This window comes from Homo sapiens, chromosome 3 (assembly GCF_000001405.40).
Source record: "Homo sapiens chromosome 3, GRCh38.p14 Primary Assembly".
Taxonomy (NCBI): Eukaryota; Metazoa; Chordata; class Mammalia; order Primates; family Hominidae; genus Homo; species Homo sapiens.
Genome location: NC_000003.12, coordinates 40,505,598 through 40,523,015, shown reverse-complemented (window position 1 = coordinate 40,523,015; position 17,418 = coordinate 40,505,598). Strand labels below are relative to the sequence as shown.

Genomic DNA, 17,418 nt, shown 5'->3' with positions numbered 1-17,418 from the left:
GGGACTGCAGTCACTTGAAAGTTGGACTGAGGCTGGGGATTTGCCTCAAAGGTAACTCACTCACATGGTTGGCACATAGATGCCAGCTATTAGTGTGAAACTTCCCTTCCTGCGCCGGGTGCAGTGGCTCAGACCTGTAATCCCAGCAATTTGGGAGGCCAAGGCAGGCAGATCACCTGAGGTCAGGAGTTTGAGGCCACCCTGGCCAACATGGCGAAACCCTGTCTCTACTAAAAATACAAAAATTAGCTGGGCGTGGTGGCGGGCACCTGTAACCCCAGCTACTTGGGAGGCTGAGGTAGGAGAATCACTTGAACCCAGGAGGCGGAGGTTGCAGTGAGCCAAGATCCCGCCACTGCACTCCAGCCCAGGATATAGAGCAAGACTGTCTCAAAAAAAAAAGAAAAGAAAAGAAAAAGAAGCCTCCCTTCGCACACCGCGTATCTGTACATGGCTGAGTATCCTCACAACACAGGAGCAGACTTCCACTTCCATCTCAGGTGAGTAACCCAAGAGGTCAAGGCAGAAGTGGCAATATCATTTATGTCCTAGCTTTGGAAGTCACACTCTGTCATTTCCTCAATATACTATCATCACAGGCCAGTCATGATTCAGTGTTGGATACACAAGGGTGTGAATGCCAGAATGAGAATCACTGGGGACCATTTTGGGAGCTGGCTAAACACATTTTTTACCTACCACAGAAACAGTCCTTTCTATAATCTATAGTACTTTTATTGTAACATTTATGAAGCACAATTGTTTTAAATAGATGAATTAGATTTCCAAGAACAATAGCATTAGAACATATATTTATACACTGCCCCTTCTCTAAGCCTATCAAAAAGAGTATCTACCATGAATCTAGAGAAATGGACACACATATATTGGTGTACATACATGTACACATTTTTACACCACAAACTCTAGAGTATCAGACAGTTATTACAATTAGTTCTAATTTGAATTAACTAGAGGGAACAAGATTGGACATGTAACTCCTCCATTTGGTATTATGGTGCAGAGAGAAGAGATGAAAGTTTTGGTAGGCAAGACTAAGTGCCTAAAATCCCCAGGTTGGAACCATGACAGGAATCATGAGCAGTCAGAGGAGAAAATTGGGACCATGCTACAAGAGGCCCATTCTTTTCCAGAACAGCCTCAACAGAAGCAAACTATAGGCAGTGCTGCCTAGAGGAAGCTAAAGGGCAAAAGTGAACCAAAAGATATGGGAAACTTCAGACTTTGCAATTGTGAGTCGGTTCACCTAACAGCAAAATTAAACTCTCTGGAGCTGAATGTCTCTCACCTGATCAATGCCAGAGAGATTAGCTTTCCCTAAAAACACACTATCCCCACCCACTAGCCACTACAATAAGGCAAGAAATAAAAAAGCATCCAGAATTTGAAAGGAAGAAGTAAAACTGTTATTTGCAAACACGATTCTCAATGTTAGAAAATCCTATGGAATCTATAAAACGTTACTAGAACCAATAAGTGAGTTGTGCAAGGTTGAAGGATATGCGGTTAATATATAAAAACCAATTATATTTCTATATGTCAGCAAAAACTGGAAATTTACTGTTTATTATTACAAGTATCATAAGTTATTAAGTATTTATACATGAAAAAGATGAAATTTTTAGATGCATCTGAGGAAAAGTGTGAAAGATCTGCACAGTAAAAATTACAAAACATTGCTGAAGGAAATTAATAAATATCTAAATAAATGGGGAGCTCTACCATGTCCATGGGTCAAAAGACTCTGTATATTTGTCAATTCTCCATAAATTGGTCATTATATTCAATGCAATCCCAATCAAACTCCCAGGAGGTGTTTTGTAGAAAGTGAAAAACTGATTCTAAAATTCATATGGAAATGCAAAGGACCTCTAATGGCCAAAACACCTCGACAAAGAACAAAGTTAGAGAACTAACACTATATGACTTCAACACTTATTAGATTTCAACACTTATTAGATAACTATAATAATAAAGGCAGTGCCTTAATGGCATCAAGACAGACAAACAGATCAATGGAACAGTATCTAGAAATAGACCCACACATATATGGACTTCTGCTTCACAACAATGGTACAAAGGCAATTCAGTGGGGGAACTTTTTTCAAAAAATGGTGTTACAGGCCAGGCAATAGTGGCACAGACTTGTAGTCCCAGCTACTCAGGAGGCTGAGGCAGGAGGATCACTTGAGACCAGGAATTCAAGGGTACAGTACACTGTAATGATGCCTGTGAATAGCACTGCACTTCAGCTTGTGCAACATAGTGAGACCCATCTCTTAAAAAAGAAAAAAATGGTGCTACAATAGGATACTTATATGAAGAAAAAGAAAAAAACTTGGATCCATGCCTCAGACAAAAATTAACTCAATAGATGATAGAATTAAATGTAAAACCTAAAACTATAAAACTTCTGGCCAGGTGCGATGGCTCACACCTGTAATCCCAGCACTTTGGGAGGCCGAGGTGGGCAGATCACTTAAGGTCAGGATTTCGAGACCAGCCTGGCCAACATGGCAAAACCCCATCTCTACTAAAAATACAAAAATTAGCTGGGCATGGTGGCACCTGCCTGTAATCCCAGCTACTCAGGAGGCTGAGGCTGGAGTATCGCTTGAACTTAGGAGGTGGAGGTTGCAGTGAGCAACCTCCGAAGCTGCAATCATTGAGATCCTGCCACTGCACTCAAGCCTGGGCAACAGAGTGAGACTCTGTCAAAAAAAAAAAAAAAAAAAAAACACAAAAACTATAAAACTTCTAAAGGGAAAACTTTAGGAAAAAAATCTTTGCAAATGTGGGTACAGCAAAGATGTCTTAGATTTGACACTGAAACCATGATCCATTAAAAAAAAAGGCTAGACACAGTGGCTCATGCCTATAATTCCAGCACTTTGGGAGGTCAAGGCAAGAGGCTCGCTTGAGCCCAGGAGTTCAAGACCAGCCTGTGCAACATAGTGAGACCTCATCTCTATTTAAAAATAAAAAACTGATAAATTGGATTTCATGCATATTAATGTCTTCTGCTCTTTAAAAGACACTGTCATGATGTGCACCTGTAATCCCAGCTACTCGGGAGGATGAGGTGGGAGGATCACTTGAACCTGGGAGGCAAAGGTTGCAGTAAGCCAAGATGGTGGTACTGCACTCCAGCCTGGGTAACAGAGTGAGACCCCATCTCAAAAAAAAAAAAAAAAAAAAAAGACACCATTGTGAGAATGAAAAGGCAAACCACAGGCTAGAAGAAAATATTTAAAAATCACATATCTGAAAAAGACTTGTATCCACAATAAATAATGACCTCTCAAAGATTAATAAAACAAAAACAACACAATAAAAACATGGGCAAAAAATATGAGCAGACACTTCATCAAATAAGTTATATGGAACACAAATAAGCACAATAGTCATTAGAGAAATGCAAATTAAAACCACAATGGGATAGCATTAAACAATTAGAATAGCTAAAATTTTAAAAACTGACATCAAGTGTAGGCATAGATGTATTGGAAGTACAACTGTCATACAATGCAAGTGGAAATGTACAATGGCACAACCTCTTTCGTAAAACAGTTTTGAAGATTCTCAAAATGTTAAATAGGGTATGGTGGTGCACACCTGTAGTCCCAGCTACTAAGAGTAGGACAGGGGGACTGAGGCAGGAGGATACCCTGAGCCCAGGAGTTTGAGTCCAGCCTGAACAACAAAGCAAGAACTGCCCCCCACCAACCTCTAAAAAATAAAAACATAATAAAAATTTAAAACGTTTAATCTATACCAATCTACCTAATGACCTAGCCATTCCACTCCTGTATCAAGATAAATGAAAGCATATATTCTTACAAAGATGTGGACACAAATGTCCATAGCAGCTTTATTTGTAATAGCCAAAAACTGAAAACAACCCAAATGGCCATCAACAGGTCAATGAATAAACAAATTATGGCATATCCATACAGTGGAATACTACTCAGCAATAAAAAGGAATGAACTATTGATATATATGCAACAACATGGGTGAATCTCAAAGTAATTATGCTGAGTGAAAGACACCAGACCAAAAAATAAAGGAAAATTAATCCAAGTGACAGAAAGCAAACCAGTGGTTGCCTGTGAAGGGCCAAGAGGAAGGGATTATGGAGGGGTACAAGCAAAGTTTTGGGGTGGTGGCTGATTATTATCTTGAACTGTGATAATTGTTTCACTAGTATATTGATAAGTCAAAACTTACCAATAGGATTATAATAATAGGTAAAAATTTTTTTTTTTTTTTTTTTGAGACGGAGTCTCAATCTGTCACCCAGACTGGAGTGCAGTGGCATGATCTTGGCTCACTGCAACCTCTGCCTCCCTGGGCTCCTGCCTCAGCCTCCCAAGTAGCTGGGACTACAGGCACATGTCACCCCACGCCCAGCTAATTTTTTGTACTTTTAGTAGAGACAGGGTTTCAGTGTGTTAGCAGGATGGTCTTGATCTCCTGACCTTGTGATCTGCCCACCTCAGCCTCCCAAAGTGCTGGGATTACAGGCATGAGCCACTGTGCCCGGCCAATAATAGGTAATACTTTTATTATATGTAGTCACTGTTTGAAACACTTCTACAAATAATGCATTTAATCCCCAACACAAACCTATGAGGTAGATTAACTGTCATCCTCATTTTACAGATAAGGAAACTAGTGCAGTTTTTGTAACTTAACCAAGGACAAACACCTGGACTCAAACCAAAGTCTGCCTGGCTCTGTATTATTAATCACTACTCTCTGCTTCCTGCAAAATCAAGCTGGCTGCCAGAGGGGATGCTAAAACCTAACACATTTACATCTTCCCTCATTTCCACAGGTAACAGCAATAATGGTAGGTTCTTCCATGATCATAAAAAATAACTAGATGGAATTGCAAGAAAATGCTGCCTGCTTTGAGGTCACTTGAAACAGCAATGAGAATAAATTTAAGACAAATGGTGCCTTGCACCTGACTCAAAGAGTATATACATCCTGACTTTTGCAAAGGCACAGAGTACAACTGTCTAGTGAAGACAAACTGAAGAATAAGTAGGGTGGGTGGACACTGAACCTGAGATAGGTCTCTGGAAGTTTGCACCCTACTAGGAATGTCTTCCAAGATGCATTTGGCTCCACATGGACAGGGCCCGTTTTTGAATTTAGGAGACTTCTGACGTACGGACTGCAATAGGGAATCCATATATCTGTCTTTTTATTTACTGGTTTACTCCTTGTGTAGTGTTGCACATATGAGAAAGGATGCATGGGAGATAAAGATTTCAGATTTAAAGGGTCTGAAATGCCTTTATTCTATACTTATACTTTGGAGTATAGAATTGCAGGGGAAAACATTTTCCATGAGAAGTCTGAAGGCATACACATTGTCATCTGACTTTGAAGGTTGCTCTTGAAAAATCTAATGCCATTTTCATTTTTTACTGTTTTTGAGACAAAGTCTCACTCTGTCGCCCAGGCTGGAGTGCAGTGGTGCGATCTCAGCTCACTGCAACCTCTGCCTCAGGGATTCAAGTGATTCTCCTGCCTCAGCCTCTCTAGTAGCTGGGATTACAGGCATGCGCCACCATGCCTGGCTAATTTTTGTGTTTTTTTTTTTCAGGAGAGACGGGGTTTCACCATATTGGGCGGGCTGGTCTCGAACTCCTGACCTCATGATCCACCCGCCTCAGCCTCCCAAAGTGCTGGGATTACAGGCACGAGCCACCGCGCCTGGCCCCGCTTTCATTTCTGATCTTTTGTTTTCTCTCTCTAGAAACTTTTTAGGGTCTCATTTTTTCTCCATGATCCTCTTATTCAAACTTGGTGTTTTCATAATTCACAGCAATTTTCCTTAATGTAGGTTTCCCTTGAATCCATCCTGCTGGGCACCCAGCATGTCCTTTAAATCTGGAAACTTACATTTCCTTTTATGTTTCTAAGTTTGTTTGTTTGTTTTTTGGTCTTCTCTAACCATAAAGAGACTTCATGTTGGGGAAACAGGTTCAAAAAACTTAAAGAAGAGTTCATGATGAAAGCCAAGTGTCTAACCAGGAAGGACAGCGAGGACACTGATAAAAAGCATGAAAATAAAGAGAAAAAAGGAGAGGCACAGTGGGCCTAACTATGGATAGCCCTATGCTTGGACAGGTGTCTTCTGAGTGTGTAGTTTCTGATGCAGAATGAATCTTCCACACCAGCTGAAGGTTTTACCACACACTTTACACTCATAAGGTTTCTCGCCAGTGTGAACTCGCTGGTGCTGAATCAGGGTTATTTTCTGATTGAATGCCTTCCCACACTCCTTACATTCAAAGGGCTTCTCCCCAGTGTGAATTCGCTGATGCTGAGTCAAGGCTGTGTTGGAGCTTAATCGTTTTCCACACTCTTTACATTCATAAGGTTTCTCCCCAGTGTGCATTCGCTGATGGACAGTGAAACTTGAGCTGCAACTGAAAGTTTTCCAACATTCGTTACATTCATAGAGCTTCTCCCCAGTGTGGAACCTCTGGTGCTGGAGGAAGACAGAGCTGCTACTGAAGGCCTTGCCGCACTCCTTACATTCATAGGGCTTTTCTCCAGTGTGGATTCTCTGATGCTGAATCAAGGCTGTGTCTGAACTTAAACCTTTTCCACATTCTTTACATTTAAATGGTTTCTTTCCAGTGTGAATTATCTGATGCCGAATAAGTAATGAGTTATATCTGAAGTATTTTCCACATTCTTTGCATTCAAAAGACTTTTCACCAGTGTGACATTTCTCATGTCGGTGGAAGTCTGCCATTTGAATGAAATATCTGCCACATTGTCCACATTCATAAGATATCTGACCACTAGGATTTGTCTGATTTGTAGTGAGTTGTGTGCTGACGCTAATATTTTTTCCTAATTTCTCAAACTTCTCTCCATTCTTGACCTCATAGGCCTCATGGTGCCTGGCTGAGGTATCTGTGAAATGTCTCCTCTTTGACTTTGTCTTAATTATCCAATGACCTTGTGGCTGCTCTAGGCTGCTCCCAAAGTCAAGGTGCTGGGAAACATTCCCTGGCAGGCCCCCCACCATCAGTCTGAAGGACTCTGTTTCTTTGGACACATGATCCTTTGGAGTTAATCCTTCCTTCTCAGTTCTGGCCTCATCCCCTATCACAAAAAGAAAATACAAATGTCAGTCCCTGATATCACACACACACACACACACACACACACACACACACACACAATATCTGTGCTGAAGAAGAAACAGAATCAAGTGGTTCTAATTTGCCCTGAATATATGGATATTTTCTAATATGCTCACAAGATGGCTGCCTAAGATCACCACACAACAGAGCCCTGCAAGGGACATGAAAACTCTATGAGACGGGAGGGAAGCAAGGCCAGGAGGCATTCCCATAAACAGTGTGAAAACCAGAAAACTGCAAAGACTGTTAATTAGGGCAGAAAGACTAAGAGAAAAATGAATGAGGTGGATAAAGATGCAAACATAAAAAAAGTAACAAATGGAAATCCATAAGTGAGAGGAAGACTCCCAAGATTAGAGAAGGGGCAGGCTGAGCAGTTCAAGCACTACAACAGGTCCCACAGGCTGAGATTCCTTAAGAGATGCTTGTTAAAAGACATCATGCATGTCATAACCTTGAAAAGAGAGCTGATCTCTACCATCAAGCTGGCTCTAGTAAAGCAGCAGGCTCCCATGCAGTGGTTGAGGATGCCATGCATGGCAACCACCACAGCATCCAGGAGAAAGGAAGGTTTGGAGGCTTGCCTTTAAAACCAAAAAGCACTGGAAATGTGAAGAACTCTTCCAAGAGTGAATGTAAGTCCCAAAGAGGGCCTGGTAACGATGCTTGCCATTTTTCCTAAAAGGTCTCATAGGTTGTGCATTTGTTTAATACAACAGTTTGAAAAGTGAACTACTAAACTCACATGATAATAAGGGAAAACCAAAGAGAAATATTCCCTCCACTATCAAAACCTTTTGCAGACTAAGTAAAATCTTCAGCCTGCATGCATTCACAAAAAATTGTTCAGAAAATATTTTTACTCAGATGACGTAGGGTCCTGAGGTCACATCCAGAAAGGTACAACTTAAACTCAAGACTTGGGGGTGGATCAGTAATGGGCATTCTCTGCAGAAGAGCACAGAAAATTTTCACAGGCAGAGAATGGGTGAAGCAGAATAAGAAAGATTAAAAAATATACTATGTTTTATGTATTTATTTATTTTTGAGATAGAGTCTCGCTGTGTCACCCAGGCTGGAGTGTGGTGGTGCAATCTTGGCTCACTGCAACCTCCACCTCCTGGGTTCAAGTGATTCTCATGCTTCAGCCTCCCCAGGAGCTGGTACTACAGGTGCACACCACCATACCCAGCTAATTTTTGATGTTTTTGGGTTTTTTTTGAGACAGAGTCTCGCTCTGTCACTCAGGCTGGTGTAGGGTCCAGCCCTACTGGGCCTCTGGGTTTTTCTCCTCATGTGCAGAGACGAGAGATGGTAGAAATAAAGACACAAGACAAAGAGATAGAAGAAAAGACAGCTGGGCCCAGGGAACCACTACCACCAAGATGCGGAGACTGGTAGTGGCCCTGAATGCCTGGCCGTGCTGTTATTGATTATGTACAAGGCAAAGGGGCAGGGTATGGAGTGAGAGTCATCTCCAATGATAGGTAAGGTCACACGAGTCACATGTCCACCAGACAGGGGGCCCTTCCCTATTTGGTAGCCGAGGCGGAGAGAGAGAGGGGACAGCTTACATCATTATTTCTTCTAGAAGGCAGAGCCAGGTGTACAGGGCAGAACATGAAAGTGGACCAGGAGCGTGACCACTGAAGCACAGCATCAACAGGGAGATGGTTAGGCCTCCGGATGGCTGCGGGTGGGCCTGACTGATGTCAGGCCTTCCACAAGAGGTGGTGGAGCAGTCTTCTCTAACTCCCCCGGGGAAAGGGAGACTCCCTTTCCCGGTCTGCTAAGTAACGGGTGCCTTCCCAGGCACTGGCGCTACCGCTAGACCAAGGTCTGCTAAGTAAGGGGTGCCCTCCCAGGCACTGGCATTACCGCTAGACCAAGGAGCCCTCTGGTGGCCCTGTCCCGGCTTGACAGAGTGCTCACACTCTTGTCTTCTGGTCACTTCTCACAGTGTCCCTTCAGCTCCTATCTCTGTATGGCCTGGTTTTTCCTAGGTTATAATTGTAGAACAGAGATTATTATAATATTGGAATAAAGAGTAATGCTACAAACTAATGATTAATAATATTAATATATAATCATATCTATAATCTATTTCTAGCATAATTATTCTTATTCTATATATTTTCTTTATTATACTGGAACAGCTTGTGCCCTCAGTCTCTTGCCTTGGCACCTGGGTGGCTTGCTGCCCACAGGCTGGAGTGCAATGGTATGATCTCAGCTCACTACGACCTCCACTCCCCAGGTTCAACCGATTCTCCTGCCTCCGCCTCCTGAGTAGCTAGGATTACAGGCACGTGCTACCACGTCCATGCTAATATTTTGTATTTTTAGTAGCGATGGAGTTTCACCATGTTGGCCAGGCTGGTCTCGAACTCCTGACCTCAGGTGATCCACCCACCTCGGTCTCCCAAAGTGCTGGGATTACAGGCATGAACCACCACACCTGGCCATATATATATATATATATATATATATATATATATATATTTTTTTTTTTTTTTAGTTGAGACGGGGTTTCGTCATGTTGGCCAAGCTGGTCTTGAACTCCTGGCCTCAAGTGATCCACCTGCCTCAGCCTCCCAAAATGCTGAGATTACAGGTATGAGCCACCATGCCCAGCCTATTTTTAATTCTTATATCAATAGCCATCGAAGTGAGAAAGTTATTCACCTTTAATTTACAATAAATTTTGCTTCAGAAATTTTTTTAAGTATCTGTGGGGGAAAGATGAAATAAGAATCAAAGGATATTTGTGACTGTTGAAGCTGGATGAAGGATACATGGAGTGCATTATGCTGGTGTTTGCATATATTTGAAAATTTCCATTATAAAAACAAACTTTTTATTCTTTAAGTCAGTGCTTAAACAATGTAGCCTATGATATGCAGATGGCCAGCCATGTTGCCAGAAGCCTATTTTCCTCCAAAGGTGGCTGACATCCTCATCTTTGCAAAAACAAACTGGCAGAAAAATAAAATGTTTTCATGTGACAGAGAAGAAATGAGCTGGTTTAAGTGCTGCCCAATCAGACAGTCTCCCTTGGCAGGTTGTGAGGAGGACAGGCAAAGACGAATATGCAAAGAAATCTTACAGTCATTCCTGTCTTAAAAGAGACTGGCCCTTCCCCAGTTGAGGTAGGCTACCACCATGAACTCAGAGAATCACATGTAATGATTCCACAGGAACAAAAACAGTCTCCCAAGAGAAGAAACACTTCTTGCACAATGAAATGTGAAAACAAGAAAGCAAGCCAAGCCAAAAAGGCAGCTAGTGGGTTCTCATGCTCACCTGGACAGATACCTCTGAGAGCCTCCCTGCCCATAGGTTCCCAGGGATCGAGGCCCCATGGCAGTTCCCCTTGCTCCAGCTGGGAGACCAGAACAGGCGTGGTGAATGGGAATGCTGCCCAGGGAGAAAGAAACAGGAAAAGGTAAGGGGAATCAGGAACCAGGATCCTCTTGCAGCCCCCTTTATCTTTATCTGCTGAGCCAGGTAGTGAGAGACAAGGTGAGTCAGGGAGAAACTTAATCTATGCTGCTGGAGGACAGAAATTTCCCACAAAGTGGCACAGAGTCCCAGAATAATCCCACGCTCACATAAGGGAATCTCAAGTTTTCTTCAGAGAACTTGGAAGACACAAGGGGCTTTGCTGTGCTCCCAAGAGCTCCTTTCCCCCCCATGTTTTGGGTACAGCCCCTCCCAGGGTTGGAGGGACAGGTGATTTCAAAACCTGGGAACGCAGGGCTCTCTCCACCCAGAAACTTCCAGGCAGCTCAGCCTTCAGGGCAACAGAGAGTTATTAGAAACCCCACAAAGTTCTCCTGCCAGGAGCGGTGGCTCACACATGTCTTCCCAGCACTTTGGGAGGCTGAGGCAGGAGGATCGCTTGAGGCCAGGAGTTCGAGACCAGCCTGGCCAACATGGAGAAACCCCATCTCTACTAAAAATACAATAATTAGCCGGGTGTGGTGGCGCCCACCTGTAATCCCAGCTACTTTGGAGGCTGAGGCAGAAGAATCGCTTGAACCTGGGAGGTGGAGGTTGTAGTGAGCCGAGATTGCGCCATTGCACTCCAGCCTGGGCGACAGAGGGAGACTCTTGTCTCAAAAAAAAAAGAAAAAAAGAAAAAAACCCCACAAAGTTCTAAGGAATAAAGAAGCCAGGATGCTTAAAGGGCAGAGGCCAAAAACAAGAAGAAATGTCTTACCCAGGGAAGCCACATTTGCATAATTCTCCAGCATCACTTCCCTGTACAGGGCCCTCTGCACAGAGTCCAGGCTGGCCCATTCATTCTGGGTGAAGTACACAGCCACATCCTCAAAGGTCACTGGTTCCTAAAACAACAAGTTCCTGCTCAAACCCTGTGTGAGGGCAGAGGATCAGGCTAAGTAGTGGGGCAGAGATCTACTGGGTCTAGTGGTATTGCCAAGGACAGTTATCCAGCACTCCACCATGAGGCCAGCCCTCAGCCATCTTTGCCCGCACCAACAGGGGAGTCCAAGGGTCATTGCACCCCTTTGTGGTCATCCCCAGCAAACAGCTCTATTTTCATCTGCTGATCTCTGCTTGCCTCCACTGTGCCCTGCTCTGTGTGCCCATCTGTTCCTCTGGGCTCCTTTCCCCAGTGTGGGTTTTGTGTGCACATGCACAGGGGACATCTGTATAAACACAGTGAATAACACTTTTGTACTGATCTTCACTCTCTCCCTAACCCCATTAAAGTGATAGTAACATAATAGCCCAAGAGAAGAGTCAAAGCAGGCTGGGCACAGTGGCTCACGCCTGTAATCCTAGCACTTTGGGAGGCCAAGGCAGGCGGATGGCTTGAGACCAGCCTGGCGATGTTGCCAACAGGGTGAAATCCCGTCTCTACAAAAAATACAAAAATTCGCCAAGTGTGGTGGTGCATGCCTGTAGTCCCAGCTACCTGGGAGGTTGAGATGGGAGGATCACCTGAGCTCGGGGAGGTCGAGGCTGCAGTGAGCTGTGTTTGCACCACTGTACGCCAGCCTGGGTGACAGAGTGAGACCCTGTCTCAAAAAAAAGAGAGAGAGAGAAGAATCAAAGCCAACTAGAGGTATAAACAGAATTTTAGAAGGCAGAAAGAGAATGAATGATAACTAGACTAGAAAAGCAGACAAAGATGAAACTCAACTTCTGGCAGAAGGGGAAGCAAACAAAAAGGGGCCCAATTCACACCACAGAACTAAGGATGAGCTAAGGATTTTGTAAATGTGCACTGTTGTTTATAACTTGGTAAAATATTCTATCTCCTTAAAAGCAACATAGAGAAGGAAGGACCAACAAAGTATTTAGGACAATGAATGAAAAATATCTACACATAGGCATGTAACTGAGACATCTCAGAAAAATGAGAATACACAACAGATCCTACAGGCTTTCAGAGAAGGAAAAACAACACACACGAAGACTGGGAAGTCGAGATGGCAACAGACTAAACACCAAAAGTAAAAGGGTAATGTTTTTGAAAATGCAGGGATTACAGATTACACCTGTAATCCCAGCCCCTTGGGAGGCCAAGGTGAGAAGATTGCTTCAGCTCAGAAGTTCGAGACCAGCCTGGGCAACATGGTGAAACCCCGTCTCTACAAAATATGCAAAAATTAGCCATGCAAGGTGGTGCTCCCAGCTACTCGGGAGACTGAGGTGGGAGGATCACCTGAGCCTAGGGGAGGTTGAGGCTACAGTGAGCCGTGATCGTGCTACTGTACTCTGGCATGGGTGACAGTGGGACTGTCTCAAAAAAAAAAAAATGCTAAGGGAAAACTTCCAGTTCTTATCTAGGTGGAATCACAGGGGCTGGATTTCCCCTCCTGCCTGAAACAAAATAACCAGACAAATTATATAAAACAATTTTCAAGATATCATGCAAAAAACGACAACAATCCCTGAGAAACAGGAAAGAAAAGAAGTGAGCCCTATAATTCCCTAAGCTACTACCCTGAGGAATTTCCAGGCTGCAACACAGGAAGGGGGAACTGAGGCAGAACCTGGCATATTTCCTTGTAGAGTCTGAAGAGACCAAGGCAGCTTGAGTTTATAGGACAGAATGCCAGAGAGGAGAGGGCTGCATAGAGATGGAATCTCAATTATCAGCAGAAGGTCCCTTTAGAGTATTCAACAAAATACAGATCAGTACATGGGTGTGGGAAAACTAACCAAGGCCAGAGAAAGGATCATTTGGAAAGACTGAAAAGAACGATGCCTGATATTTACACACCATTAATCCTATGGAAAATAGGAAAAAAAAGAGCCAGGCACGGTGGCTCATGCATGTAATCCCAGCCCTTTGAGAAGCTGAGGTGGGCAGATCACTCGAGGCCAAGAGTTCGAGACCAGCCTGGCCAACATGATGAAACTCCATCTCTACTAAAAATACAAAAAATGTGCCAGGCATGGTGGTGTGTGCCTATAATCCCAGCTACGTGGGAGGCTGGACACAAGAATCGCTTGAACCCAGAAAGCAGAAATTGCAATGAGCCGAGATCATACCATTGCACTCCAGCCTGGGTGACACAGTGACTCTGTCTCAAACAAAAGAAAAAAAAGAAAAGAAAGAAAATAGAAAAAGAGAATAAAAGGAAACAAAGAACAGATGGGACCATTACAAAACAAGTAGAAAGATGACAGGCCCAGATCCAGCCATATCAATAATGGTATCAAATGTAAATAATCTAAACATCCCAAAAGGCAAACATTGTCATATTGGACTTTTAAGCAAATAAGAACCTACTATCTGCTTAAGATAGTACATTGCTTGAAGAACCTTCAAGAAATGTACGTTAAATATAAAGACAGGGATAAATTAAAAGCAAAAGAATAGAAAAAGACATACCATGACAACATTAGCCAAAGAAAACTGTAAGGCCAGGCATGGTGGCTCATGCCTGTAATCCCAGCACTTTGGGAGGTGGAGGCGGGAGGATGGCTTGCATCTAGGAGTTTGAGAAGAGCCTAGGCAACCTTGTCTCTAGGAAAAAGAAGAGAGCCAAGCACAGTGGTCTGTACCTGTAGTCTCAACTTAGTCTCAACTCCTTGGGAGGATCACTTAGGCCTGGGAGGTGGAGGCTGCAGTGAGCTGTGATTGCACCACTGCACTCAGCCTGGGAGACAGAGTAAGATTGTCTCTAAGGAAAAAAGAAAAAAAAAAAAGCTGCAGTGGCTAAATTCATATAAGACAATGTAGATAGGTAGACAGTCCATATTCTGGGCCATAAAAGAAAGCTCAATAAAATCAAAATGATTCAAGTCATACAAAGTATGTTTTCTGACTGTAATGCAATTAAATTTGATATCACAGAAAGACTCCTGGAAAATCCCCAAATATTTGTAAAGTCAGTAACACACTTCCATAAGAGAATGTACAAAGTATTTTGAACTGAATGAAAATGAAAACACCATGTACTAGAATTTGCGGGATAATGCTAAAGCGGTACTTGGGAGGAAATGTATAGCACTAAATGCCTATTTTACAAAACAAAAAAAAAAGAAAGATCTCAAATCTGTGACTTCAGCTTCCCCCTTAAAACTAAAAAAAGAATAGCAAATTTAACACAAAATAAATATAAAAAAGACATTAAAGATCAAAGTGAAAACTAATGACATAAAACAGAAAAGTAATGAAACCAGAAGCTAGTTCTTAAAGAAAAATTAATAAAATTCATAAACCTCTAGCCAGTGACCAGAAAAAAAGAGAGAATACACAAATCATTAATATTAGTAATAAAAGAAGTGACATCACTGCAGGTAATAAAAGATAAGCACATATTATGAACAACTTTATGTGAATAATTTCTACAACTTAGATAAAATGGATAAGTTCCTTGAAAGGCACAAGTTACCAAAACTCATTTAAGCTGGGCGTAGTGATGCATGCCTGTAGTCCCAGGTACCTGGGAGGCTGAGCGGGGAGGATTGCTTGAGCCCAATTTGAGGTCAGCCTGGGCAACATAGAGAAAACCGTTGTCAAAAAATAAAAATAAATAAATAAAAAGAGATAACCAGAGTAGCCCCTGTATCTACCAAAGGACTCAAAACTGTACTTAAAAACCTTATCAGAAAGAAAACCCCATGCCTAGATAGCTTCACTGTTGAATTCTACCAAACATTTAAGGAAGAAATGCAGTCAACTCTACATAAATTCTTCCAAAATATTAAAGAGGAGGGAATATTTCTCATTCTATGGAACAAAGACATCACAAGAAAAGAAAACTGCAAATCAATACCTCATAAACATAGATACAGAAATTCTAAATAAAATTTTAACAAATTAAATTCAATATATAGTACTAATAAAATAATAATACACCATGACGAAGTCGGTTTTATCCCACCGCAGAGTTGGTTTAATATTTGAAAGAAAAATCATGTAATTCACCACATTAACAAAGAGAGGCTGGGCACGGTGGCTCACGCCTGTAATCCCAGCACTTTGGGAAGCCAAGGTGGGGGAATCACGAGGTCAAGGGATCGAGACCATCCTGGCCAACATGGTGAAACCTGGTCTCTACTAAAAATACAAAAATTAGCTGGGTGTGGTGGCGCGTGCTTGTAGTCCCAGCTACTCGGGAGGCTGAGGCAGGAGAATCGCTTGAACCCCAGAGGTGGAGGGTGCAGTGAACCAGGATCGCGCCACTGCACTCCAGCCTGTCGATAGAGCAAGACTCCATCTCAAAAAAAAAAAAAAAAAAAAACCATATGGTCATCTAAATAGACACAGAAAAAGCAATTGTCAAAATCCAACATCCATTCCTATAAAAACTCTCACCAAAGTAGTACTAGAAGAGAATGCCTGATAAAGGACATTTACAAAACAAAACAAAACAAAAAAGCAAGAAACCTACAGTGAACATCAGTCTTCAGTGTGAAAGATTGAATGCTTTCACTTTAAAAGCATAAATAAGACAAAGATATCTGCTCTCACCACTTCTGTTCAATATTGAAATAATGCTTCTAGCCAGTGCAGTAAGGCAAGACAAAATAAAATAAAAGGCATCCAGACTGGAAAGAAAGGAGTAAAACTATCTTTACTCATAGATGACCTATGTAGAAAATACAATGGAATCTACAAAACAGTTACTAGAATTGCTATACTGAAGAAGTAAGTACTTCTCCAAGCCTGCGGACTAGGGTGAAAGGGGTCTTTATTGGATGTAATAATGCAGATTTCCACATTTCATAATTTTTATTTTTAAGCTGGCTTCAAATGCCAAATCCCAACCAATCCCCCCACACTCACTAGTTTTCTAGTCTTAATTTGGGCATTCTCACCTCTCCATCCCTCTCATAGTGACAGATGCACAATGGAAGCCACTGGCCTACACAACTCAAGATCTGAATGCAGAGGTGACACCTGCTCTCTCTTGACATCTAAAGGGTGGGAGGGAGGGAGAGGATGCTCACTCACCTGGCGCCAAGCGGTCTGGAACATGGCTGGCGTCCCAGCTTCACACACTGCCTCAGGGTTCGGAGAAGTGAAACTGAAGAGAAAATAAAGAAGCACCGGTGAGATTGATGCTGCCTCGCACCCCGCAAATGCCCTCTGTGCTACTTGGGCCCCTCTCCTTTCCGCCAACTCCTCACCCCAAAAAGCAAAGGGGTTGCAAAACCAGGCAGAACAAGCCCCAGGAAAACCAATCAGTTACCCGGACCGCGAACCTCTTCAGCTCGGACCGCGAATCCCGCGCGGCGCAGGCGCAGATAAAGCGTGGAAATTCCACCTGCCGCCGACACCGGGGAAAGCTTGAGACCCTCCGCCGGAAGTGCGTTTTCCATGCCCCTCCTCTCTAGGAACCTGGGAAGTTGCCAGTCTCTGTGGTTTCCTACCCCCGCCGTCAGCGCCAGTGTCCCTACTGCCTGAGACAACACGGGCCCGAGCGGGCGGCCCCAGGCAGGGGTCCTGCAGCGCCCACACCTGGTAGCTCCTTCGGGGCATGACGTCTGGCCAGCTCAGGCCACAGAATGGTTACTATCCTGGGTATTATTCGTGGTTATCTGGCATTTGCCACTCTGGGTGTCCTTCCAGATAATGAAGGGACCATCGCGCCCTTCACATGCGCCAAAACTGTCTGGATTGTGTGGGTGCGCTGCAGTGGGAAAAGTGGGTGTGGGGAAAGGCGAACCCATTACTCAGAAGGCCGAATGTGTATGGACTACGTAGGTCCAGAAACCCAGCTGCACCACTTG

General features: G+C 43.1%; 1 protein-coding gene across 10 annotated transcripts; it reads right to left on the bottom strand.

Annotated features, from left to right (window-relative positions):
• Nucleotides 1-4,279: 4,279 nt before the first annotated feature.
• On the bottom strand, nt 4,280-16,977 carry ZNF620 (zinc finger protein 620). Of its 10 annotated transcripts, none has more exons than XM_017006064.3 (6): nt 16,816-16,977; nt 16,640-16,712; nt 14,069-14,203; nt 11,420-11,546; nt 10,501-10,614; nt 4,280-7,156 (listed from the first exon to the last, which is right to left on the bottom strand). In XM_017006064.3, the coding sequence occupies exons 2-6, from the start codon at nt 16,661-16,663 to the stop codon at nt 6,153-6,155; spliced, it is 1,404 nt and encodes a 467-aa protein (XP_016861553.1). In that variant the 5' UTR covers nt 16,664-16,712; nt 16,816-16,977; the 3' UTR covers nt 4,280-6,152. The 10 variants fall into 10 exon arrangements, with proteins under 10 accessions (XP_016861553.1, XP_047303829.1, XP_005265068.1 ...); XM_047447873.1 differs by having other exon boundaries at nt 16,878-16,977; XM_005265011.5 differs by lacking the exon at nt 14,069-14,203.
• Nucleotides 16,978-17,418: the final 441 nt, after the last annotated feature.

What these genes read in the sequence shown, in the direction of transcription:
- ZNF620 (XM_017006064.3), bottom strand. Translation starts at nt 16,663, where the DNA reads ATGTTCCAGACCGCTTGGCGCCAG. An exon ending in TCCAGACCGCTTGGCGCCAG is followed by an intron (nt 14,204 to 16,639) that starts GTGAGTGAGCAT and finishes TCTTTTTCCTAG; the next exon opens with AGACAAGGTTGCCTAGGCTC. An exon ending in TGCAAATGTGGCTTCCCTGG is followed by an intron (nt 10,615 to 11,419) that starts GTAAGACATTTC and finishes CTCCCTGGGCAG; the next exon opens with CATTCCCATTCACCACGCCT.